Here is a 26949-nt window from a genome sequence, read left to right as displayed (position 1 = left end):
GTGCAAGCACCACACCTGGGCAGCAGGAAGCCCCGCACCAAGATTTGTTGAGTGAATGAATGAGGTAGTGAATGAAGCAGGAGGCCATAAACGCTGAGGGTGTACACCTGCCTCCCTCCCGCATCTCCTACCCACCCTATGAGGAGGGAGGGGAGGCAGCAGGAGAGCTGGGCTACCTGGGGTAGAGTCCAGGTTCTGCTACTTACTAGGTAACCTGTGCCTCTGCGTCCTCCGCTGTAAAACGGGGTCTGTGGGGTTGTCCTGAGAATTAAATGAGTTAACATTTGTAAAGTACCTGGCACGCAGTAAGCGCTATATGTGCTAAACAGATAAGGAAGATACCCCCGCCCCCCAACCCTCCACTCCCCAGATCACTCTGTGGGCAGAGACCGTTTTCTCCTCTGCTCTTCCAAGGTAACGGTTCAGCCCGTTCCACCCCGAAAGGGTTTCCCTGGGGAAAAGAACCACCGCCTTGTCAGAGCTCCGAGCGTCCTCCCCTTCCCCACACCCCGTCCCACCTCCAGCGTCCCCACCCACCCACCTCTGTCTCTCTGTAAGTGACCCTGAGCCTCGTCCAGCTCCGCCAGGCCCCCAGGCTCGCGGAAGGGGCCCCAGCAGCCCCGCTGCGGGCTGGGGGTCCGGGAAGCTGCAGGCTGGACGCACCGCCCCAGTCAGCGCCAAGGCCCGGCCCGCACGCCGCGGGCGCCACCCAGTGGCCATCTGCGGAATCGGCGGCGGAGGCGGCCTACAAGAGCCTGGAGGCCCAGAGGGCACCCGGGGTGACAAAAGGGAGAGAAGGTGGAAGGAAGGGCGTAACACCGAAGGGACTGCTAGTCTGTAGGTCATAGAGCAATTCATTCAGTCCAGGAACAGTGATCCGTGGGGAGGGCTGCACGGGCGCCGGTGCGCAGAGCCTGCAGGGGCCCTTTTCTCTCTGTGGGTTAGATATCCCCGGCCCCAGGTGACCCCTCCTGTAGGACAATCTCTGGCATGAGTCTGAGGTTCCTGCTCCTGGAATCCCTGGCTTCCCTGTGCCAAGCGCATTACACCCACAGCGCCACAGCTCTGGGCTGATGAGAAGACAAAGACGGGACTCTACACCCTGACGTTGGAGAAGCGCCTCGCTCCCTGGCTGAGGTCTCTGGGGAATAGCATTTGGCGGAGACTCCAGGTTCTAATCCCAGCTATGCCCTGACTCTACGTGTGCCCCAGCCCATCTGTGCCTCGATGTTCCCATCTGTGGAAAAATGATGATAAAAATAAAAAATCTACCCAACCTCCTTTCCGGAGGTGGGGGAGGTGAGGCTTGCACGAAATAATGCTGACGAAAGCATTTTGAAGACCAAAAACCATGGTATTCCAAGTTTCTGATCTGTGATAGCTTTAGTAACCAGGTGAATACAAGAAATTACAAATACACTTACTTAAAGAGTAAGCCCCTCAAGTTCTGACATTAAAAACTCAAACAGGAGACTTTTGTTTGGAGGGGAAAGAAAGGAGCATGCAGTTGAGATCCAAAAATACGAAGTTCCATATGGGAAATTTAAATGATCTTAAGGATTTTACTATATAAAATTTAGAAGGCAGCTCACTCTTCAGGAAACCAGTAGAACAGACATTACCATCCCCAAAGACATTTGGAGGACAAAGGAAAAGCCAAAAGTTAACTAGGATCCTACTTGATCTACTTCAAAAGCACAATCACAGAACCTCACAGTGACCTAGGACATCCCAACAGCCACCAGCATCTATTCAGAGTGCGCATGAACACCTCCACCTGCCCACTTGTACAGGGCTATTCCTTGTACAAGAACAAATCCACCTGCAGACCCCATTCTGATAGCCACAGCAGTGGAACCCAGGCCCCTGACTATTGGCCCAGTATCATAAGAATGAAGCTGTCCCCCATTTCAGAGTTCAGACCTGGAATCTCAAGGCAGGATGAGAATTGACCCCAGAGTGAGGGAGAGAGGCACCCCTGACCCAACCTCTACCCCCGAAACAGAGCAGCGAGCCAAACAGCATTCCCTCACTGACTGGGTACCATGGGTAGCAGCTGCGGGGAAAGCGAGACCACCTGCTTCAGGAGAGAGGATTGGGGCAAGCTGAGCAGGGGCCCAGCACCTGGCAGGGCAGACCCGAATGAGGGATTTCAGCTCCTTTGATTAACACATCTCCTCAAAGTCCTTTTTATTTTTTTTATTTATTTATTTATTTATTTATTTATTTATTTATTTTGAGATGGAGTCTCACTCTGTAGCCAGGCTGGAGTGCAGTGGCGCGATCTCAGCTCACTGCAACCTCCGCCTCCCGGGTTCACACCATTCTCCTGCCTCAGCCTCTCAAGTAGCTGGGACTACAGGTGCATGCCACCACGCCAGGCAAATTTTTTATTTTTTGTAGAAACGGGGTTTCGCCATGTTGGCCAGGATGGTCTCGATCTCTTGACCTCGTGATCTGCCCACCTCAGCCTTCCAAAGTGCTGGGATTACAGGCGTGAGCCACCTCACCCAGCCCCAAAAGTCCTTTTTGACATGCAGGGTCCTATGCAGATCCTAGCAGCCTCCTCCTCCTCCCTTCCCCCTCTCTTACTGTCTTCCTTCTAAGTAGAGAGGGTCACATACACCATCACAGCCTGTGTACTTCTGCTTCACCGTGTTTTTTCCCCAGTTTGTTCTGTTTCTCAGGCTTTTCTTCCCCCTTACATCACATGGTGCCACACAATATCTGTTTCCTCTGTGGTCCTCCAGAGTGCCAGAATCTCTGGGAGTGAGCTTTGACAGACATCTCCTCTGAGTTCTCCAGGCCCCGTGGGTTGTTGGATTTTACTGAGCTCCACTGTCTAAGTGCACTCGCACAGAGGCAGGCAGAGGGATGAGATGCCTAGCAGCCAAGTGGACAGCACTCTGATGTCAATTCTCACCCTGTTTAGAAGTTCCACGTCCTGGATTCTGAGGTGAGGGGCAGACCCAGTCTCATGGTAGCAGTATTGACTTCAAATTAATTCAACAATTCCCTGTTGCTCTTACTCTGGCTTCAGCACTGTGCTGGGTATTGGGGGATTTCAAAGGCAGGATGAGAAGATCTCAAGACTCCCTCACCTCGCCTTTCATTCTGACCCAAGGAAGAAGAGCACTCATCTGGTTGGTCAGATTTCAGGACATTGACATATTTGAAGTGGGTGTAGTCACTATGCATAAAAGATAAGCTGAGGACGTAGCTGCAGAGGTTCTCTGTTCACCCAGCAGATGCACTTCACTGGCCCAGGCTGAGGCATTGTCCTTGTCCTTCCATGTGGCTGGCCAGAGAACAAGAAGAGCAGAGATTTGGGGAGAGGAAGGCCCCCATACTCAGCCCAGCTAACCCCAGTTCACTGCATGGGGTTTATGGTCCAAGCCCAGCTACGAGTAAAGGTGATTCTGCTTCCTCCTCTGTTCTTCCTCTAGGGCTCCCTTTGGGACTTTGCAGGCAGTGGTTGCTAGAGTCTAGGTCTGCCTGGATGCCCTAGCCCTTACACATGGCTTAGCACCTCAGTACTGCCAATAGCTTTGATAAGGAGCCATCACCCTCCAGCTCAACAGGGAGGCTAGCGCAGTGCTGAGGGAGGAGGGAAGAGCTAGAATATGATTTCATCAGGGAGTTGGGAAAGGCTTCACAGAGACAGCAGAGTTTAACACTGGCCTTGAAAGACACATAGGATTCCATAGAAATTTGGAGGCAAAATTGACAAATGGGATCTAATTAAACTAAAGAGCTTCTGCACAGCAAAAGTAACTATCATCAGAGTGAACAGGCAGCCTACAGAATGGGAGAAAACTTTTGCAATCTATCCATCTGACAAAGGGCTAATATCCAGAATCTACAAGGAACTTAAACAAATTTTCAAGGAAAAAACAAACAACCCCATCAAAAAGTGGGCAAAGGATATGAACAGACACTTCTCAAAAGAAGACATTTATGCAGCCAACAAACATGAAAAAAAGCTCATCATCACTGGTCATTAGAGAAATGCAAATCAAAACCACAATGAGACACCATCTCACACCAGTTAGAATGGCAATCATTAAAAAGTCAGGAAAAAACAGATGCTGGAGAGGATGTGGAGAAATAGGAACACTTTTACACTGTTGGTGGGAGTGTAAATTAGTTCGATTGTGGAAGACAGTGTGGCGATTCCTCAAGGATCTAGAGTCAGAAATACCATTTGAACCAGCAATCCCATTACTAGGTATATTCCCAAAGGATTATAAATCATTCTACTATATAAAGACACATGCACACGTATGTTTACTGCAGCACTATTCACAATAGCAAAGACTTGGAACCAACCCAAATGCCCATCAATGATAGACTGGGTTAAAGAAAATGTGGCATATATATACCATGAAATACTATGCAGCCATAAAAAAGAATGAGTTCATGTCCTTTGCAGGGACATGGATGAAGCTGGAAACCATCATTCTCAGCAAACTAACAGAGGAACAGGAAACCAAACACCACATGTTCTCACTCATACATGGGAGTTGAACAATGAGAACACGTGGACACAGGGAGGGGAACGTTACACACCAGGGCCTGTCGGGGGGTAGGGGGCAAGGGGAGAGATAGATTAGGAGAAATACCTAATGTAGATGATGGGTTGATGGGTGCAGCAAACCACCATGACACATGTATATCTATGTAACAAACCCAGGAGTTCAAGGTTACAGTGAGCTGTGATTGTGACACTGCACTTCAGGCTGGGTGACAATGAGACCCCATCTCTTAAAAAAAAAAAGAAGAAGTTTTCACCTAATTTAGTAGATACCTGGGAGCCGCTGAAATCTATTGAGCAGAGGAAGGATCTGAGCGCTAAAAGGATGACTCTGGCAGAAGTGTGCAGGATAAATTGGAGCCAAACAAGGGGTGGGAGGACCAGTTAGGAGACAGAGACAGCAACCCAGGCAAGCAGAACGTGAGGGTGGAGTGGTGGTGCTAGACCAGAGGCCCCAGCTGGAGTGAGCATGGAACCTGGAGGGCTTCATCCCAAGGAAGAGACAAGCTGGACTGTGGAGGATTGCTCTAACGGCTCCAGGACAATGAGGGTGCCCACCAGAGAACCTGGGAAGATGGGGAAGGTGGCGCTGGTTTGCAGAAAGATGAGCCTGGCCACCTGCCCTGGACCTCTCCACCTCACCTACTACCACTGCTCCCAGAATACACCTGCAGTGGTGTCCCTGGGCTGCTATTGTCAAGAGCTGGAATATCCTTCCCCCAACTCCCATCCCCTTCCTCACCAGGCTGTCTCTCACTTATTCTTCAATTCTCAGCTCCAGCATTGCCTCCTCCTGGAAGCAGCCCCTGAGTCCCACAGTCAGACTTAGTCAAATGCCCTTCTTCTTCCCCAGTACAGCTTCTTACTCACCTCCATCCTAACACTTGTGCTAGGTGAACTGCAGTTACTGGTTCACTTCTGTTTCCCTAATCTTCCCAAAGCCTTTTGAAGACAGGTGTTTAGTTTATCCAACATGTATGCAACAATATTTATTGAGCACCTACTATGTTCTAACTCCCAGGTGCTGAGAACTCGCTGTGGAGCAAGGAATGCTTGGTCCGGTGGAGGAAGGAGGTGGCCATTTGAACTGATGCAGGGCTAACTCTTCTTTGACTCTTTATTCTTCACACTAGCAAGGCCTGGCACAGAGAAGACTCTAAATAAATGGTGGTGGAGTAAAAGGAGGACATAATGATTGGGATGTGTTGCAGGACATCCAGAAAGCAACTAGGAACAGAGGGCTGGAGTTCAGGAGAGGTGACCGCAGAGGGATATTTTTGGAATTCTGCCCTGCTCATCTGTAAGTTCATGTGAGTTGCATTAAACCTGATGTGGAGAGTGCGTGGGGGTCTCGGAGCCTAAAGGAAATATGAAGAAAATGAGCAAGCTCCCATCCGCATTGCCTCTGCACTCCCAGCACTGCTTTTGCATGAATAGGGGACAGACACATCCCTGGCACAGGGAGGCTGTTCCCACTTAGAGCACATCTGTTGAAGGAATGAGGACACCAAGTCTGCCTGCACCCTAAGGCCAAACATCAGCTGGGCATCCAACACTTACACTACCAAAAGCTGCTGTCCAAGGAAGCAAGAGAGACTGGGGAAAAGCGCAGCTGCCTGCATGCAGTGTCCCAGCAGCAAATCATGTCTGCAGGCTCTAGACCCACCAATGATTTTTCTTCTCTTCCTAATTCAATGCAAGGTTTCAGCTCCATCTGAGTGCCTGTGGCACTGAGAAAATTAAAGGTAGACTTAATTGATCCCAAATGATCTTGGCTCACTGCAACCTCTGCCTCCCGGGTTCAAGTGATTCTCCTGTCTCAGCCTCTCAAGTAGATCTTCATGCAAAGCGACATTGAAAATGGAAAGACCCTATTCTGGGCATCATTTCTGCTGGTCCTAAAAAAGGGTTATCCAAATCCCCACTCAAGAGCTCCCCTTATGGCTCCCTGGTGGAAGCCAGCCCAGGTGAGGGCTCCTTCACTCTCCCACAACTCTAAAATGCAGTGTATAAGTTCTTGTGGACAAATTGCCATTAGGAACAGCTTCCAGCTGTCAGAAAACACTTGCAAGTAAACAACCCCATCCCAGTCAAACTGTATGACTTAGCTTTGGAGGTTTCTGAACTTCTGAGCCCTTTTGCCATCCCAGCCCCACCCCTATAGTGCCTATGACCTTCAGCTCCTCCTCCGATGAAGATTCTAGACTGAAAGCTCCATGAGGAAGGGGCCGTGCCATGGTTCACTATCACAGTATCTAGTACATCTCCTGGAACATAGTAGGCCCTTGCTAAGGATTTGCTTTGCGGATTCAAACCTCTCTTGTATAAGATACAAAGATGTATAGGAGGCCGGGTGTGGTGGCTTACACCTGTAATCCCGGCACTTTGGGAGGCCAAGGTGGATGGATCACCTGAGGTCAGGAGTTTGAGACCAGCCTGGCCAACATGGTGAAATCTCATCTCTACTAAAAATACAAAAACTAGCTGGGTGTGCTCGTGCACACCTGCAATCCCAGCTACTTGAGAGGCCGAGGCAGGAGAATCGCTTGAACCCGGGAAGCGGAGGTTGCAGTGAGCCAAGATCATGCCATTGCACTCCATCCTGGGCAAGAAGAGCGAAACTCCATCTCAAAAAAAAAGATGTATAGGATACGTTTCCCACCTTCGGACCCATCCTCCTTCTTAGGACACAGTCTAGAGAGGGTGGCTGAGGTCTCTTCCCACCAACAGTCCTTTCGCCAGATGTGCCAGGGCTGGCCAGCCCCAGCAGTGAGACGCACTCCTGGGTGGCACCAGGGTCAGAAGAGCACCGGTCTAGCCACAGTGGCTCCTTTAGTCCTCCACTCAGGACCCTTCCTCTGAGCCTACAAATAATGCAGGCTGGCCTCTCCCATTCTCGACCCTCATTTTCCCCCATCAGCCCAGCGCTCCCTGTTCCCTCTAGGATGCTTCCAGGAATATACAGCACCGTTTCAGAGAGGATTGAATTGCATGGCTTCTTGAGCAACCTGGAACACTTGAGCCAGCCAAATTTCTGCTTTATTTCAGACCACCAGGTATAACAGCAGAATTCTTCATCCTGATTAGAAAGGTGTTAGTGTGCAGTCCATAGAGAGAGAGACATCATGGTTAAGAGGCAGGTTCAAGAGCCTGGATACCTCAACTCCATCCTGGCTGTGCCACTTACTTTCTGGTGGTGGTGGGGAAAGTGCTTCATCTCTGTTTTCTCACCTCTAAAATGAGGCTGATATTAATAGTTCCTACCTCACCGGGATGTTATGAAGGTTAAATGAGATCATCCATCTGAAGCACTTAGAAAAGTGTGTATGCAATACAAACCTTCATTATTATCCGTATTTACAGTTTACAGAGGGCCCCACCAGAAGTGTTAACTCTAATTTACAAATATAAGAGGGTGCACACACACTGGCTCCCTTTTCTCAATTTAGGATAGCACTTTCCACTTCACCTTTCTATCTCCAGGAGGCTCTTCTCTGCCCCCTCATGGAAACACTTCCACCAAATCCCACTGCCTCTCCCCCAGCCCACAAAACTGATCATTTCCCATGCCCTCCTGGCCGCTCCGTATTAATCAGCACAGCCTGTTTCAGATGTCCCCCAAAACTTAGTGGCTCAACACAACAAAGGTGAGTTTTGCCTTCAGAGTCCAATACGAGTTGAGTGTAGCAGACATTCTGCTCCACTAAGGCATTCGGGACCTGGGCTCCTCCCAAGTAGCTCCACTGTCTTTCAGGGCCTTGGAGTACCACCCTGGGTCCCCTGCATCCAACAAGCAGACGGGAAGAAAACAGGGGGAGGATGGTATGGCAGGTTTTAGGACCGAGCCAGGCAGGGCTGCTCATCCCTTTAGCCCACGTTCCACAGGCCAGAAAACCAGCCCCATTGTTAGCAGCAGTGAATCTGCAGGGGTGCGCAGCAACTTGATTCTTGCCCTCTCAGAGGAAAGAATTCGGCTGCGGGGGCAGAAGTAGTTTTAAGGCAGAGGGAGAGACCGAGGCAAGTTTTAGAGCAGGAGTGAAAGTTTATTAAAAAGTTTTAGAGCAGGAACAAATGGAAGTAAATACACTTGGAAGGGGGCCAAGCAGGTGACTTGAGAGATCCAAGTGTGCCATTCAGCCCTTGACTTGGGGTTTTATATGCTAGCACAGTTCCAGGGCTTCTGTTTCTCCTCCCTTGATTCTTCCCTAGGGGCGGGCTGTCCAGGGCTGTCCACTTGTGTGGTGGCCTGCGGGCACTTGGGAGGGGCCACATGCACAGCATGTTTACTGAAGTTGTGCACATGCTCATTTGAGGCATTTCTCCCCTTACCAGTAGAGTGTTCCTAGAGGAAGGTCATATACAGGTTAAACTCTGTCATTTTGCCTCTTAGTGCCCAGGCTAGAGCCCACTTGCCCAGCTCCTGAGATCTTACCAGGAAGCGGCTGCTCACCAGCTTCAGGTGTTTTCTATTAGGAGTCTTCCTTTCCTTGGTGCCAGCTATGCCCTATTATTATTTTAGACTGACAGTTAACAACTGCCTGACCATCACCTGATGGTTGCCTGACATTCCTGTGGGCGGGGGGGGGGTGGGGAGTCCTCTCCTGTCCTGCTCATGTCTGCTTAGCTACCTACTCTAACACTATGACTCCACCTTACAGTAGTGGAAGCTCAGAAAGATAGCCTTTCCAGCCGGGTGCAGTGGCTCACGCCTGTAATCCTAGCACTTTGGGAGGCCAAGGCGGGCAGAGTTCAGGAGTTTAAGACAAGCCTGGCCAACATGGTGAAACCCTGTCTCTACTAAAATACAAAAATTAGCCAGGCATGATGGCAGGTGCCTATAATCCCAGCTACCTGGGAGGCTGAGACGGGAGAATCGCTTGAACCCAGGAGACAGTGGGTGCAGTGAGCTGAGATCATGCCACTGTACTCCAGCCTGAGTGGCTGAGCGAGCCTCCGTCTTAAAAAAAAAAAAAAAAAAAAAAAAAAAAAAAAAAAAGATAGCCTTTCCATGTGTCCAGGAGGGGAATCAAACCTGTTTGATGAACATATTGTATTTTTTCTGCTACCTGCTCCTGAAGCAGAGGCTTTTCTGGGAGAAAACTTGAATCTATTCTCTTCAGGCCATTCTCTTAGAAAATAGGCCCAAAGTGATACTCCATGTTTCCCTGCAAATCCTGTAGCAGACGATGTCTCATCATCAAATCCTGCAGGCAGACATGGGAGAAAGAAGGTGGTCTTCGGGAGAGACGGAGCTGGTGCTGCTCTCAGCTCTGCCACTCCTTGGCAGCTCAGCTTCCTCCTTTGCAGGATGGAAGTGGGGGCATGGAGGACTTTGAGCATTGGTGACTACATATATGAAGAGTGGCCAGGGATATTACTGTCCTTGGCCCTGCTTCCCTGTTCTCCCGTCCCCCAACCACCTCACACCACCCCACACCACCTGTCCAGAGTCAGGGCTGCCGGGACAGGCACAGTTCTTCTGGCTGCCCGGGTGGTCTGTTTTCAGCCAGTCAACCCCGCTGACAGGGCAGAAACAATGGGGAAGGGGAATGAGGATCAGGACAGCCTGCGAATGTAATTAAGCGAAAGGAAATCTGAAAACCCAAATCCCTCTCCCGCCCCAACCGATGCCAGCTTGATCTTTTTTGTTTCTGGACCCCACCCCCAATGCACGCCCCCACACTTCATGCTCAGCTGATCCAGATGGTCTGTGGATGCTGAGAGCCAAACAGTGTGGGGAATTGGTTGTTTCATAAGCTCCTACAGACTCTGTCACTAATTGTAAACCCATTTGGGACACATTCTGAAACAAGAGGCTTTTCACTAACCTCTAGTTCCTAAACAAACAAACACAAATCAGGGTTCATGCTTTCTCTCATTCTACCCTTCCCCAGGCTCCTCCTCACCTTGCTTTAAAACAATTACTTGGGAAACAAAGGGCAACACCCACTTTGTGCGCCCCTGGTAATACCGCAGTCACCTACCAGCTCTGGAAGCAAGAGAGTCATTGTTCTCCTAGCAACACGCACTGCCCCAGCTGCACGTGTTTGGTGCTTGGATTACACCAGCCAGCAGCGGGGGTGTGCATGTTGCTAGGAGAACTTGAACTTGATTCTAAATTTGCAACCTCTCCTCACTGCCACAGCTTTCTTTCAGCTGCAAACAGACACAACTCAACTGCAGAATCCACAACACTGGGCCCAACGGGGAAATCCCCAGCCTCAGATAAGACCAGTGTGCTTTCATCCTTTTCTTTTCTCATGTCCTTCTTTCTTGAATTTCAGACAGATAACAACCACACAAATAAGCAAGAATTATGAAGATCCATTGTACAATATCGACTGAGCACGTCCTATTGCCGGCTGCTGTCCTGGTCACTTCAGACACAGCATGAAGGAAACAGACAAAAGATCTTCCCCTTAGAGAGCCTCCGTCTGGGGTAGGGAGGATGATAAGCAAATAAACACATCAGTATCAGTCGGGGTTCTCCAGACAAACAGAGCCAGGAGGAGCTAGATTAGCTCTAAATCTAGATGACATAGATGTGTGTATGTGTACATATTACATATATGTATAAAGGAATTTATTTCAGGAATTGGCTCATACAGTTGTGGAGGCTGGCAAGTCTGAGATCTGTGGAGCAGGCTAGCAGGCTGGAAACTCATGCAGGAACTGATGCTGCAGTCTTGGGGCAGAATTTCTTCTTGCATAGGGAAACGTCGGTTTTCCTCTTCAAACCTCTCCACTGATTAGATGAGGCCCACCAAGATATCAAGGGTAATCTCCTTTACTTAAAGACAACTGATCTTGTTTACCATATCTATAAAATACCTTCACAGCAACACTAGGTTAGTGTTTGCTTCAATAACTGGGTCTTGCCTGGGCGCGGTGGCTCCCACCTGTAATTCCAGCACTTTGGGAGGCAAAGGCGGGCAGATCACAAGGTCAGGAGATCGAGACCATCCTGGCTAACACAGTGAAACCCCGTCTCTACTAAAAAATAAAAAATAAAAAAATTAGCCAAGCATGGTGGCGGGCGCCTGTAGTCCCAGCTACTCAGGAGGCTGAGGCAGGAGAATGGCGTGAACCCAGGAGGCAGAGCTTGCAGTGAGCCGATATCGCGCCACTGCACACTAGCCTGGGCCACAAAGCGAGACTCCATCTCAAAAATAAAAATGAAAAAATAAAAAAAAATAACTGGATCTTATAGCTTAGCCAAGTTTGACACATAAAACCAAGCATGCCAAATGCATGTCCAATGTGTTGGGTAGTGATAAGTAAGTGCAATGGGAAAAAAGAAAGCAAGTGGAGAGGGACAGGGAGCCCCAGGCAGTGGGGCACAGGAGACATACCATGTGAGATATAATACGTCGTTCAATACAAACTTGAAAGAAAAATAAATGAACATACCTAGGCACTGCATTCAAAAAGCACAACAAAATCCTCACTTAGTGACAGATCTGCTTAATCATGACTCTGCAGCACTGGAATTGAGGACAGGAGAGAGGCCGTTTGCAGAGCTCTAATTAATAGCAGCACAGCCAAAGCAAGAAGCAAGTGTTTAGTCTCCGGTCTTGATGGATCTTCAGAAACAGATCCCTGTCTGCAACGGCCTCCTGGCTGAATTCCTGCTTCCACACTCGCCCCTCCCTCCACTACTCTGCTCCCACCCCTGACAGTGGTTGCAGGCACTTGGCCTCTTCTGCCCGCTGCCCCCCCACCCCATCCCTTCACCACCCCCTCCCACTGCAGCTGCAGTCCCGGTAGCCTCTTGCTGGTTCCCCAGCACTCCTTCTCACTTCTGCCCCAGGCCTTTGCTGCTCCTCCTCCACATCCTGGAAGGGTCTCCTCCCAGCCATGTGCCTGGCTCTCCCCACACATCCTCCTCAGAAAGGCCAGCCTTGACCACCCCATAAAATAGCACCCTCGTCATCACTCTCTGCCTCCTTAGCCCATCTTCTTGGTCTTCATAGTGTATATGTTAAATATCTATTTCTCTGTTGATTGTCTTCTCTCACTCTGTTGTTTTTTTAAAATTGTAGTAAAATTACATAAAATTTACCACTTTCAATTGCACAATTCAGTGACATTTAGCACATTCCCAGTGTTAGACAACCATCACCACTACCTAGTTCCAGAACACTTTCACCACCCTAAAGGAAACCCATACCCATTAAGCAGCCACTCCCCATTTCTCCCTCCTCCAAGCCCTGACAATCACCACTCTGCCTTCTGTCTCTGTGGCTTTGCCTATTCTGGGTATATTACATGAAAGGAATCATACAGTATATGGCCTTTTCTGGCTGACTTCTTTCACGCAGCATGATGTCTTCGAGGTTGGTCCATGCTGTAGCGTGGGGCAGTACTTCATTCCATCTATGGCTGAAGAGCATTCCATTGTGTGGGTGTGCCATGTTTTGTTTCTCCATTCATCCACTGAGGGACATTTGGGTTGTCTGCACCTTCTGCTATTGTGAATGATGCCACAGTGAACATACATGTGTGGTGTTTGTTTGAAGGGGACTCTGTCTTGATCATTTTGTGTCCCTGGCCTGTGAACGGACCTGCAGATTAACCTGTGGACAGCTTAATCTTCAGGCAAATGAATAAAAGGCAAAGTTCAGCATCTAATTTAATTTTCCCCAGGCCCCTTTATCAACCTTCTCTGCCACAGCAAGGACCAAGCCTTTGTATCCACACCTAACCAATATCCACACCCTGAGCCAAACCCATCCAGCAGAGCGGCAGGGGTCCAGCTAGGCTCCTCCCAGCTCCCTGCTTCCCAAAGGTAAGACATCCAGGCCATTGAGCCAAATGTGCCCTTTGGAATTCCCATACAGCCCCAGGATTCCCCCAAAACAAAGCACTTTTGTCCTCAGGTAAAGGCTGACTAGTAGGCTAATAAGACTTCGGATATTTCTTTGAATGGGATAAAATCTCAAATTTTATGATTAGAAATCAGACCCTAAGAAACATCCCTGGGACTCGTTTCCAAGGCTGCCATAACAAAGTACCACAAACCAGGTGGCTTAAAGCAACAGAAATTCATTTTCTCATTATTCTGGAGGCCAGAAGCCTGAAATCCAGGAGTCAGCAGGGCCACGCTCCCTCGGGAGGCTCTGGGGAAGAGTCCTTCCCTGCCTCTTCCAGCTCACAGTGGTTTCCAGCAATCCTTGGCCTTGTTCTTGGCATGCAGCTGCCTAATCCCACCTCCACCTCCATATTCACATGGCCTTCCTCCCTTGTATCTCACATCAGCTTTTTTTTTTTTTTTTTTTTTTGAGAGGGATTTTCACTCTGTCACCCAGACTGGAGTGCAGTGGCGCCATCTCAGCTCACTGCAACCTCTGCCTCCTGGGTTCAAGTGATTCTCTTGCCTCAGCCTCCTGAGTAGCTGGGATTACAGGTGCCCATCACCACGCTCAGATAATTTTTGTATTTTTAGTGGAAATGGGGTTTCATCATGTTGGCCAGGCTGGTCTTGAACTCCTGACCTCAGGTGATCCACCCGCCTCCCAAAGTGCTGGGATTACAGGCATGAGCCACCACACCCGGCCCACATTATCTTCTTAAAAGGACATCATTCATATGGGATTAAGGGCCCATCCTACTCCAGCGTGATTTCATCTTAACTAATTCATCTACAATGACCGTATTTCCAAATAAGGTCATATTCTGCAGTAGTTGGGGGTTAGGACTTCAACATATCTTTTCTGGAGACATAATTCATCACTTTGGAGAAGGGGTCATGGAATGCATAGCCTTGATTTTACTAAAGCGTAAATCATTGGTAAGGTATTGGGGAGGGCAGGGAGCTGTGTGCAAATAAAGAAGACCATGCACAGGCAGGGTTCCACTGATGAGGAGAAATGGGCAAGAAACAGGAGAATGGAACCTTCCTCTCTCTTCCTCTGTCTTCCTTGCAATTTAGCTGAGGGCCAAATCTGTACCTTGCAGCCAGCGCAGCTGCAGAACAGGGCAAGGAGGTATCTCAGGTCTCCTAGAGGGATCCTTGGAATGCACGGAGCAGCTCACTTCTCGCTCATAACCCTCCAAGAGCTCCCCTGTGAGCCCGGCTAATGCCCACAGGACCCCAGGCCATCTTCCCTCCACATTCCCGCTCCTATCCCTTCCCCACCTCTCACTCCACACCAGCCACATTGGGTTCCATCCTGTCCTTGAAAATGCCCAGTATGCTCCTGTCCTGGCACCTGTGTCCTCCTGGTCCCTATCCCTGGAATGTTCTTCCTTCCTTCAGAGATCTAAGTGGCTCAAACTGCATTCTATCTGGCCCTCCCTGCCCACCCTATCTCCCTTCCATCCTACCACTTTCTATGCCCCTCTCTTGCTCATTTTTTCCATAGCCCTTGCCACCACCTGATGTACATATATTTACCTACTTACTGTCAGTCTTCCTCCACTAGAATATGCACACGTGATAGAGGGAACATCGTGCTGTGCTCCTCATGGCCATATTCCTGGCCTCCCAGCAGCCTTGGCCTGTATTAGCTGGTCAGTGACCTATCATCAGATAAAGGAAGCTGCTGTGCCACACCAGGTGCTAGAGGAGCTCTGCAGCTGCTGGAGGGCCCCTGCACTGGGGCTAGTGTCCTGAGGGTCAGGGGAGGGGCGGCTGGGCTTTAGATCCCTTCCTGCCTTGGGCACAGGGAAGACCCCAACCCTACCTGGAAGGGCTGCTGTCCAGCAGGCCCCACACCGCCTCAGCAGGCCCCACACGGCCCCACACCTCCCAGAATTGCTTACCTCAGGCTGGGGAGGGAGTGGCCTTGGGTTCACCTGTTTTCTGGCTCTTCCTGGCAGCCTCTGCCGCTCCAGCCTGGGTGGTGGGGAGTCAGAGGGTCCATCTAGGCAGTGCATTTTCTGTTTCCTGCAGCTGCCGCAAAAAATCACCACAAACTCAGAGGTTTAAAATAACACAGTATTATTCTTACAGTCCTGGAGGTCAGAAGTCCAAAATAAGGCTAATGGGGCTAAAATCAAGGTATCAGCGGGGCTGGTTCCTTCCAAAGTGTGGGGAAGACAATCCATGGCCTGCCTTGGCCCCTCCTCCATCTCCAAAGCACAGCCCTCCAGTCTCTGCAAGCGCATCACTTCAGTCTGTGCTTCCCGGATCTTCCTGCCTTCTCCTCTGACTCTTGACTCCTGGGTCCCTCTGATGAGAACCTTTGTGATTACCTGGGGCCCATTTAGATAAGCCAGGCTAATCACCTCAAGATCCTTAACCGCATGGACAAAGTCCCTCTTGATATATGTTAACACTCCTAGTGCCAGGGATTAGGGCATAAACATATTTGGGGGCTGTTATTTAGCCTCCCTCAAGCAGGAAGGGGGCAGCCCTGCTCCCCAACCACTGTCAGGATGTTACTGGAAAGAAGTCCTGATCCAGACCCTAAGACAGGGCTCTTGGAGCTCACACAAGAAAGAATTTGGGGCAAGTTCACAGAGTAAATTGAAAGCAAGTTTATTTAAAAAGTAAAGGAATAGGCCAGGTGCAGTAGCTCACGCCTGATCCCAGCACTTTGGGAGGCCGAGGTGGATCACCAGAGGTCAGGAGTTTGAGACCAGCCTGGCCAACATGGTGAAAACCCATCTCTACTAAAAATACAAAAATTAGCCAGGCATGGTGGCTCATACCTGTAGTCCCAGTTACTCGGGAGGCTGAGGCAGGAGAATCGCTTAAACCCAGGAGGCAGAGGTCACAGTGAGCCGAGATCACACCACTGCACTCCAACCTAGGCAATAGAGTGAGACTGTCTCAAAAAAAAAAAAAAAGTGAAGGAATAAAAGGGTGGCTACTCCATAGGCAGAACCGCCCCGAGGGCTGCTACTGGCTATTTTTATTTCTTGATCATATGCTAAACAAGAGGTGGATTATTCATGAGTTTTCTGGGAAATGGGGCAGAGATTTCCCTAGGAACCGAGAGCTCCTCCCCATTTTAGACATACATGGTAACTTCTGGGCATTTGTAAACTGTCATGCACTGATGGGAGTGTCTTCAGCATGCTAACGCATTCTAATCAGCATATAATCAGCAGTGAGGGTAACCAGAGGTCACTTTTGTCACCATCTTGGTTCTGGCAAGTTTGGGCCAGCTTCTTTACCACATCCTGTTTTATCAGTGGGGTCTTTGTGACCTGCATCTTGTGACCTCCTGTCTCATCCTGTGACTGAGAATGCCTAACCTCCTGGGGATGCTGCCCCAGCAGCTCTCAGCCTCATTTCACCCAGCCCCTATTCAAGATGGAGTCACTCTGGTTCCAACGCCTTTGACAATGACGTGCCAGGCACCTGCCCCACCCTGCTGAGGTGGGACCTTGCCTCCCAGAGTCCTTCTATCAGCTCCTCCTCAACCCCAGCTTCAGATCCCCCAACACCCAACCCCAGGCTTTCCCACAGTTCCAGGACAGCTGCAGCCCCTGGTTACACCTTTTTGCTAAGGCTGAACCAGGGCTGGGCAGTCTCAGGAACTGGCGTCTCTGAGGCCGGGATGGTGGCACCTCCTTCAACTTTGCGGGGAGGGGTACAGAGACAAGGCAGGGATGAGAGCGGGATAGGTTAATGTCTCAAGGTCAGTTTCACACTTTTTTCTTCTGTTCTTTTGCCTCCTGCTTCCTCTCTTCCCCAGAAAACACCCTGGCTTTTCTCCCTCTAGTTCTCCATCCTCCCCTACCTTAGCTAGTGACACTCAGTGCATCCAGCACTTTCCATAGTCAGTGCATGGAGAAGGGCATTCACGGAGTCTATGCTGGGGCTCTCGCTCCCCCCACCCCACCCCACACATGGGAATCACATTCTGAATGATGTTCGATGGGAAAAGAGGCCAAGCACATGGACACTGCCCCACCTCAGCCCAGGGTGACCACAAGAGCTGCAGAGCCAGAAGGGCCACTCCCAGTGCCACCATCATCCCTGATGGCTGTGAGACTCACCCCCACAGAGACTCAGTTTTCTCTTCTATAAAATGGAGATCATCCCTTTCAGGATGACCGTCCCTACCTGTGGTCCCCAAACTACTGTCATAACTCACAAAATATCCATGATATGGAAGAATCGTTGTAACAGCAGAACAAGGAAGAAACAGAGATCATGGCTGCAAGAACCTTAGACTGCATGGGCACCTGGGGCCAGAGGTCAGGGGAACCTACAGCATCCAAGACCAAGCCTTAACCAGGGAAAGCACCAACTTTCACAATGGTTTTATACGCTGGAACAGCCCCCAGGCCCCTTCCATTGTCCCCCCTCAGGCCCCAGCACACCCCACAGGGCCAAAGAAGAGGTCCTCTAACCGCCCAAGGGGTTCACCTTGCCTCCTGCCTAAACAGAGCCAATTTATCAAGACAGGGGAATTGCAACAGAGAAAGAGTAATTCACGCAGAACCAGCTGTGCGGGAGATCAGAGTTTTAATATTACTCAAATCAGTCTTCTGGAAAACTCAGGGATCAGAGTTTTTAAGGATAATTTGGTGAGTCAGGGGCCAGTGAATCAGGAGTACTGATTGGTTGGCCAGGGGATGAAATCATAGGGAGTCAAAGCTGTTCTCTTCTGCTGAGTCAGTTCCTGGGTGGGGGCCCCAGAACTGGTTGGCAGGTCCAGGTGGGGCCATCCAGTTGTTAGAAATGTAAAAACCTGAAAAGACATCTCAAAAGGCAGATCTTGGGTTCACAATAGTGATGTTACCTTCAAGAGTAACTGGGGAAGTTGCAAATCTTACGACCTCTGGAATAATGGCTGGTAATAGTTAGAATTCTAGCCACTGTCATCTTGACTTCATAGCTGGTGGCCTTTCATTTGTTTTACAAGAACAGTTTAGCCTTTTGGGAAGGGCTATTATATAAACTATACACTAAATTCCTTCTCAAAGCTAGTTCAGCCTATACCCAGGAATGAATAAGGACAGTTTAGAGGTTAGAAGCAAGATGGGGTCAGTTATGTCTGGTATCTTTCACTGTCATAATTTTCTCAGTTATGATTTTTGCAAAGGTGGTTTCAGTCTCTAGAGCAATCCTGTCTCTTATTGCCACACACTGGTGAGGCCAGCATTGTCCTTGGAAGAAACAACTTCCCTAGACATTCCACATCCCGTGCAGGCTGGTTCCAACAGTGACAGTCCTTCAGGTGGCTGAGTAGCCCGCAGAGACAGGGAAGTGAGGCAGGAGAGAAAGCACACTTTTTCCAGTCATAACTGCCTGATTCTTCCTATAATTCCTCAGCTGGCTGTGGGGGCCGCGAAGTGATGTGAGGAAAGCACAGAATGGGCCCTCGGGAATTGCTGGTTCTCTCCCCACTGCTGCCCTACAAGGGGCCCCTGCACAAGGCCCTCAAAGCCTCTGAGCCTCCGTCACCTGTTAAACGAGTTGACAAGTGGCCCTGATGAAACTGCCTTTGCAAAAATTATAACAGAAAATTATGACAGCAAAAGAGATCTGATCTAACCAACCCCCATTTTGTCTTTAACCTCCAAACTTTCCTCCATCATTCCTGGGCATGGGCCAAGCTACCTTTGGGAGACATTTAGTTTACAGTTTAAATGGTAATAGCCCTTCCCCAAAACTAAACTGCCTTTGAAATGAAAGGTGGTTTACTAATGAAAATCTATGAATGAAAGGCCACCAGGTTAAGAGGATGAGAAGAGACTAGATGCTGCTGAGGTGTAGACATAAACGATTACTGGCCATTATTCCAGAGGTCAGAAAATTTGCAACCTCCCCAGTTAATTCTGCAGATCACAGCACTATCACAGAACCTAAGACTGGTCTTTTGAGATCTTTTTCAGACTTACCCACCTGGACAAGTGGCTCAAGACTCAGCCAGCCTGTGGCTCCCCGACCCAGAGGTGGACTCAACACACAAGGACTGTTTTCCGCAGCCCTAGGATTGCATCCCCAACCAATCAGCAACACCCATTCCCCCTGCCTGCCAAAATAACCTTGAAAAACTCTAGCCTCCAAAATTTGGGGGAGGCTGATTTGAGTTATAATATAGCTCTGGTCTCCTGTTTAGCCATCTCTACGTGAATTAAACTCTTTCTCTATTGCAATTCCCCAGTGTTGATCTTCAGCTCTTTCTGGGCAGCAGGCAAAATGAACACACTGGGTGGTGACACCATTACCTCATGTATGAGGGCCACCTTGAAGTGACCTGGCACAACATACAAATGTGTTACATAAAAGAACAACAAGGAATAAAGAAAAGAATTGGTTAGGCAGTGCATTCATTTCCTAGGGCTGCCATAACAAACTGCCACATACCAGGTGACTTAAAAAAACAGAAATCTATTGTCTCACAGCTCTAGAGGCCTAAAGTCTAAGACCACGTTGCCCTCAGAAAGGAGCTGTTCCAGGCCTCCCTACAGGCTTCTGGTAGCCTCAGGCATAGATGCCTCGCTCTTCACAGGGTGTTGCCTCTTCACAGGGTGTTGTCTTCACAACATCTTCCCTGTGTGTGCGTTTGTCTCTGTGTCTAAATTTCCCCTTTTCATAAGGACACTACTCATATTGATTAAGGCCCACCCTAATGAACTTATTTTAACTTGATTATCTTTGTGAAGACCCTATTTCCAAATAAGGTCACGTTCTGAGGTACTGGAGGTTAGGACTTCAACATATCTTTCTGTGGGGACACAGTTCAAGGGTTGGTAAACGTTTCAAGGGTTGGACACAGGAAAGGGTTGGTAAACATTTTCTGGAAAAAGCCAGATAGTAATATTTTAGACTTGTGAGCCACTGTCTCTGTCACAGCTACGCACTTCTGCTGTGGCAGCCTGAAAGCAGCCATAGACAATACATAAATGAATAAGCCTGGCTTGTTCCAATAAAACTTTATTTATAACAATAAGTTGTGGGCTAGATGTGGTTGGCAGGCCATAGTCTGCCAATCCCTAGGTTAGAACACCAATTTTAAAACAAGGAAAAAGAGTTTCTGCAGCCTTTCTGAAAGAGGGGACTCAGTCAGGGAACCAGAGATTCGGAGCAAAATCTGAGTCCCCAGAAGTGCTAAGAGGGGAGTCAAGGAAACTCCTGGGGTTTAAGAACGTGGACTCAAAATGCGGGAGGAAGACAGGGCACCCTGGAGGAGTTCCACAGAAGGCCCTTGGCTTGCCCACAGGCACTAAAGGCTGATCTTACAGCTGAGGAAACTGAGGCACCAAACGATCAAGTGACTTGCCAAAAGACACAGCTAGTAGAGGAAGGATTCCATCCCAATCAATGTGATTCCAGGGGCTGAGCTTGTAACCACTAGCAATTACTCCAGAGGACAAAGAAACAACAGAGGATCAGGCACTGGGAGCTGGGTGTCTCAGGCCGAGTTCTTCAGGGGTTGGAGTCACAAGGGTGGAACACAAGGGGGCCAGGGAGTTAGAAAGGGCCAGTAGAAAGCAGCAGCGTGTCAGTCATTAGAATGTGCGGGCATCAGCCTTGCTGTCTAAACATCATCAGGAGGGTCTTTACCAATACCCCCCACGGAACAAAGCTATAACACCTCTCCCGCAGAAGCAGTGGAGATGGGCGCTCTTACTCTGAGTTAACAAAGGTCTTATGAGTTGTGTTCAACATAAACTAATAAATACATACTCAGGGAATCAGTTCACCAGGATTGTAAAGAAATAAAAATAGAAACAAGGTCAGGTACTAATGGGAAGATGCTAATTGTGCTCTGTCATGGAACCTCACCCTTGTTGGCCTGTCATCTTCACACTTCATTGAAAATCCATTAAAACGATTGTGAGGCCATTAACCCTGACTTTCAGGCAGAAGCTTCCCTTGGGCGCAGTTGTGTGACTAGGGTTCTTTCATTAATATTTAGTGTAATTGCTTGAGAGCCGGATAATTGTGATTACAGACTGCCACTTAAATATGGAAGGGGAGCATGAAGATGGGATCTTTTCTTTGCATCTTTTTTATTTTTAATATGTGTGGAATCATCTCCCTCAGGCAAGATAATATATTAAAACTTGAATTTTTAAAACAAAGAGAGGGCTGATTACTCGGTCTACAAAAGAATTCACCACAGGATTCCTTAAATTGTGAGCTCCCAGAGCAATCAAAATTATTTGATTTACAAAATTTCAATCTGCTGGCATCTTTTCCATATTATGACTCTACCATAAAGGTTATATTTGAAAAAAGAAACACAGCTACTAATGAGTGCCGTAGAGGCTGCTGAGTGGAGAATTAAGGCCTGCATTTATAAACAGGGTGACCAGAAGACATACCTTAAGGACACCTTGAAATTCAGCCTTGATGCCTGGGATAGGACTGTGACTTGCTAGGACATGCAGTCAGACAGATGAACCAAGGGGGACACCAATTAGAGATGAGAGGACCCTGAGACCAGTCTGCAACTTGGAGCAACTGCAAGAAGATGCTCCTTCCAGAGTACAGAGGGGAAAACTGCTGCTCCCAAAAAAGATTCTTCCCCCTCTGTCCCTCAGCCCCATGAAATGGGACAAACTGATCCAGTACCACCTCAGATTTAGGCCTGTTAAAAGCCTGGGAGGATATTAACGACCTTCCCCATAAAACAGTGGCTTTCTCTTCTTATATTTTATCAGCTTCCATTGCTCTGCATTTAAAAGGAGGCACACAAAATTGCAATGCCATCCTCCAAGGTGTGTGGCAACAGCCAAGGTGAGTGGAACAAACGTGAACAATGTTTCTTCTGCTCTCACACCACCAACAACATCAATACAGAAGACTTTTGGCCGGGCTCAGTGGCTCAAGCTTATAATCCCAGCACTTTGGGAGGCCAAGCCAAGCAGATAGCTTGAGGCCAGGAGTTCGAGACCAACCTGGCCAACATGGTAAGAACCCCTTCTCTATTAAAAATACAAAAATGAGCCAGCTGTGGTGGTACACACCTGTAATCCCAGCAACTTGGGTGACTGAGGCATGAGAATTGCTTGAATCCAGGAGGCGGAGGTTGCACCACTGCATTCCAGCCTGGGTGACAGAGCAAGACTCTGTCTCAAAAAACAACAGACTTCTGTGACCAAATACTCGGTGGTTTTACCCCACCAACATGCAAGCAATCAATTCAGCAGCAGACGTGAGCTGCAGGGGTATCTTCCAATTCAATTCGGACACTGTCTACCTGGAGATAGCATCAGATCCCACAGGTTGAGGGCTCAGTCCCACAAGAATGCCTCCCTCTTCCTCCAGACACCAGTCACAGATCCTCAAGCTGGGCTTTCCACATTTCTTTAGGTTTGATTAATTTGCCAGAGTGGCTTACAGAACTCAGGGAAACATGTTTACCAGATTATGAAGGATATTACAAAGAATATAAACAAAGAGAGGCATAGGGCAAGGTATGGGGGAAGAAGCATGGAGCTTCCATACCTTCCCTGAGCACGCCACCCTCCAAGAACCTCCACGTGTTCGGCTATCCGGAAGTTCTCCGAACACTGTCTCTTTGGGTTTTTATGGAAGCTTCATTATGAGGCATGATTGATAAAGCCACTGGCCATTGGTGATCAACTTAAACTTCAGCTCCTCTCCCCTCCCCGGAGATTGCAAGAGCAAGGACGGAGTTTGGAAACCACCGCCCTTGACCTTTGCTGTCCAAAGCAGTAGCCACTAGTCCCATGTGGCTACCCACAATTGCAGTGAGGCTGGTCTGAACTGAGGTGTGCTATAAGTGTAAAATTCATACCAGATTTCAAAAACTTATCAAGAAAAGAATATACAATATCTGGTGAGTAATTTTTACATTGATTACATGTTGAAATGATAATATTTTAGATATATTCGGTTAAATAAATTATATCATTAAAATGAATTTAACATGTTTTTTATTTTTTAATGCGGCAACTAGAAAATTTTAAGTTACTATGTGGCTCATGTTATATTTCTGGGTTTTTTTTGTTTTTTTGTTTTTTTTGGAGATGGAGTCTCATCACCCAGACTGGAGTACAGTGGCACAATCACGGCTCACTGCAGCCTCAACCTCCCAGGCTCAAGTGATCCTCCTGCCTCAGACTCCCGAGTAGCTGGAACTACAGATGTGCACCACTACCGCTGGCTAATTTTTTTATTTTTTGTAGAGACAGGGTCTCGCTATGTTGCCCAGGCTGGTCTTAAACTGCTGGGCTCAAGCAATTCTCCTTCCTTACGCTCCCAAAGTGCTGGGATTACAGGCATGAGCCACCATGCCTGGCCTCAGCCCTGTGTGATATTTCTATGGGACAGTGGTGCTTAAATGATCAACTTCAATGGGAGAATGTGTGTACCTCTACATACAGAGGTAGATATATAGTTTCTGATTATATAAATAAATATAATATATTTGGCTTTGAAAGACCAAATAAACAGGACTTGAACTTTTTTTTCCATGAATGGTAGGAAAGTTATGACTATGAGAACCTTAATGTTTGCTATGAACGGCTTGGGGTGGCTTTACTCACTGTTCCAGACTACAGAGTTGATGCCTGGGTTGACCACTAGAGAGCAGTGGCGTATATAAAATGTGAGCGTTCACACAGCCATTAACTGTGAAGACACTCCGCCCAGCCCACATGCAGAGCCACTACAGGGTCGGCACTAGGTAATGATTAAAACCCATGCTCTTTCCCTCCCTTTTAAGTGCCATATGCCTGGGGAAGAAGAAAAGACTACAGAAAACTGGGTAGAACTAGAGCTGACCCTTAAACTGTGAGGCTCAGACAGCAGCAAAGCAGGAAGGCCATTCTGCGTGAAAAACATCAGATGTTCAAAGGCAAGTGTTCAAAGACCCAGGCGCGGAGTCACGTTTACCTTCCTGGCTCCGAGGCTATCAAAATGCGGGGCCTGAAGCAAGCCACTGGGCCTTGCTTCTGTAAGATGAGGTAGAGCTAGGTGAGCTTTAACATGTCCTCCAACGTCAGCATTGCAGCCATTCCAGAGTGAACCCCGCGGGCCTGCTGTTCCAATAGGTTTAATGGGGGACACAAACACCTTCCAGGCACAATGGTACTGTAAATCCATGCTTTAAGTGCCCCCCACCACTCCAAACACCTAGCAATAATACATAAGATATAAAAATTTTAAAAATGAAAGTCCAAGCCTTGCTCCGGAAGATCAGCATCTTGGCCGGGCGCAGTGGCTCACGCATGTAATCCCATCCCTTTGGGAGGCTGCTGCAGGTGGATCACCTAAGGTCAGGAGTTCGAGACCAGCCTAGGCAATATGGTGAAACCCTGTCTCTACTAAAAATATAAAAATTAGCTGGGCGTGGTGGCAAGTTCATGTACTGCCAGCTGCTCAGGAGGCTGAGGCATGAGAATCGCTTGAGCCCAGGAGGTTGCGGTGAGCCGAGATCACGCCATTGCATTCCAGGAAAAAAAAAAAAAAAAAAGATCAGCATCTCCAAGGATCAGAGAAACACAGAAATACAATTCTACAGCAGAAATGGTGCTATAGGTTCTCCAGGTCACCACTCAGGCAGAGGTGGCCAGGAGCTTTTCTCTTCTCTTGTGGTAAAAGGGGAACTATACATGGCCAGGGGTTCCCAGTCCAGAAACTGGGTGGGGCTTTCACACCCAAGAACCAGGAATATAAAATGCTGGGGCTGAGACTTATACAAAGCTTCTTATCCCAGTTGAAGAGGAACCTTGCCAAAGAGGTCCCCTGGCTCAGTGTTGGGATCAGCAACGTCCCCAAATCATGGCAGTATGGATACCTGAGCTGACAATTGAAAATCTGGTTCTGAATTGGGGGCTGCGAGGACCAAAAAGAAGCTACTGCAAAACCACTAGGTTGAAAGGGAATGAGCATAGAGAGAGACTAAAATTACTAATAATAACTCCCACAAGAGAAAGACTAAAAAGGCAGTCAAAAAATGTAATCTAAAAATGTAATGGTAGGAATTGAATTCACTTCAGAAGAAGTGAAAATGGTAGGGCAATGTGACACTGACTTTTTAAGGAATTGATTATTTATTTAGCAAATATTCTAAGCACCTACCATGTCCTAGACACTGTTTTAGGTGCTCAAGATACAATAATCAACAAAACAAGACTGCTGATATGGTTTGGTTCTGTGTCCCCACCCAAATCTCATCTTGAATTATAATCCTTTATAATCCCCACATGTCAAGGGAGGGACCAGGTGAGAGGTGCTTGGATCATGGGGGTGATTTTCCCATGCTGTTCTCATGATCGTGAGTGAGTTCTCACAAGATCTGATGGTTTTATAAGGCAGTTTTTCCTGCTCTTGCATGCTCTCTCTTCCCTGCCACCATGTAAGATGTGCCTCCTCCCCTTCCACCATGATTGTAAGTTTCCTGAGCCCTCCCCATCCATGCAGAACTGTGAGTCAATTGAACCTCTTTTCTTTATAAATCACCCAGTCTCAGGCAGTTCTTTATACCAGTGTGAAAACAGACTAATACAACTACCTTCTTGAAACTTACATTCTATGGAAGAGACAGAAAATTTTTTAAATTATGTAATATGTCAACTATTAAAAAGTGCTTGAAGAAATGTTTAGGATCCTCAAAGATATAAAGGAATGACTAACAACCATTTATAAAAACATAAACTATGAAACAATAAATAGGCAAACTAAAACAAAAGCAAGTTATAAAAGAGAACCAATTGAAATGAAAAATATAGGTATTAAAATACATAAACTCAGGCCAGCCACAGTGGCTCACTCCTATAATTCTAACATTTTGGGAAGCTGAGACAGGAGGATAGCTTGAGCCCAGGAGTTTGAGACCAGCCTGGGCAACATAGCAAGACCCCGTCTCTACAAATCATTTCAAAATTAGCCAGGCATAGTGGCGTGCACCTGTGGTCCCAGCTACTTGGGAGGCTGAGGTGGGAGAATTGCTTGAGCCTGGGCAATCAAGGCTGCAGTGAGCCATGATCACACCATTGCACTCCAGTCTGGGCAACAGAGTGATACTCAGTCTCAAAAAAAAAATACATAAACTCATAAGTATTGGATAAACTCTATGTTGTCATGGTAGAAGAGAGATCCACTAATTAGGAGGCAGTACTGTAGAAATCACCCATAATGCAACACAAAGAGGGAAAATGTATTTTTTTAAATATGAAAGGGCAGCTAAGAGATACAGAAGATACACTGACGGGCATCAACATACAGCTAATAGGAATTCCAGAAGAAAATAATAAAAGGAATGAGAGAGAAGTGATGTTCAAAGAGATAATATCTGAAGTTTTCCAGTATTAAAGTTAGAATTCACTAGATATGGATACATAGAAACTTGTATTTTCACTGTGATATAGCTAAGTGTCTATATATTACAGTGAAACTGTGAGACATCTCAGGATAAAGAAAAAAAATCTCATTGGGGGAAAAAAAAGATTATCTACAAAAAAAAAGAACACTGATGGGAGGAACATCATCAGAAACAGATGCCAGAAAACATGGGAGGAACTCACAAAGTGCC

General features: G+C 47.9%; 1 long non-coding RNA gene across 1 annotated transcript, besides 3 other annotated features; it reads right to left on the bottom strand.

The window, feature by feature from the left end:
- Window positions 8277-8776: an enhancer, noted in NCBI's record as "H3K4me1 hESC enhancer chr1:181151125-181151624 (GRCh37/hg19 assembly coordinates)". NCBI's record gives its function as "activates a minimal SCP1, AML or CMV promoter by ChIP-STARR-seq in primed H9 embryonic stem cells {active_cell/tissue: H9 hESC(primed)}" and the evidence as "EXISTENCE:reporter gene assay evidence [ECO:0000049][PMID:30033119]".
- On the bottom strand, window positions 8557-16281 carry LINC01732 (long intergenic non-protein coding RNA 1732). Its single transcript, NR_125966.1, has 3 exons — window positions 16190-16281; window positions 15299-15428; window positions 8557-8876 (listed from the first exon to the last, which is right to left on the bottom strand). It is a non-coding gene; the product is annotated as a long intergenic non-protein coding RNA 1732 (long non-coding RNA).
- Window positions 23904-23973: a silencer, noted in NCBI's record as "silent region_1610". NCBI's record gives its function as "represses an Ori minimal core promoter by ATAC-STARR-seq in GM12878 lymphoblastoid cells {active_cell/tissue: GM12878}" and the evidence as "EXISTENCE:reporter gene assay evidence [ECO:0000049][PMID:35858748]".
- Window positions 23984-24033: a silencer, noted in NCBI's record as "silent region_1609". NCBI's record gives its function as "represses an Ori minimal core promoter by ATAC-STARR-seq in GM12878 lymphoblastoid cells {active_cell/tissue: GM12878}" and the evidence as "EXISTENCE:reporter gene assay evidence [ECO:0000049][PMID:35858748]".

Source organism: Homo sapiens, chromosome 1 (assembly GCF_000001405.40).
Source record: "Homo sapiens chromosome 1, GRCh38.p14 Primary Assembly".
Lineage (NCBI taxonomy): Eukaryota > Metazoa > Chordata > Mammalia > Primates > Hominidae > Homo > Homo sapiens.
This window is presented reverse-complemented; position numbering and strand designations above follow the sequence as displayed.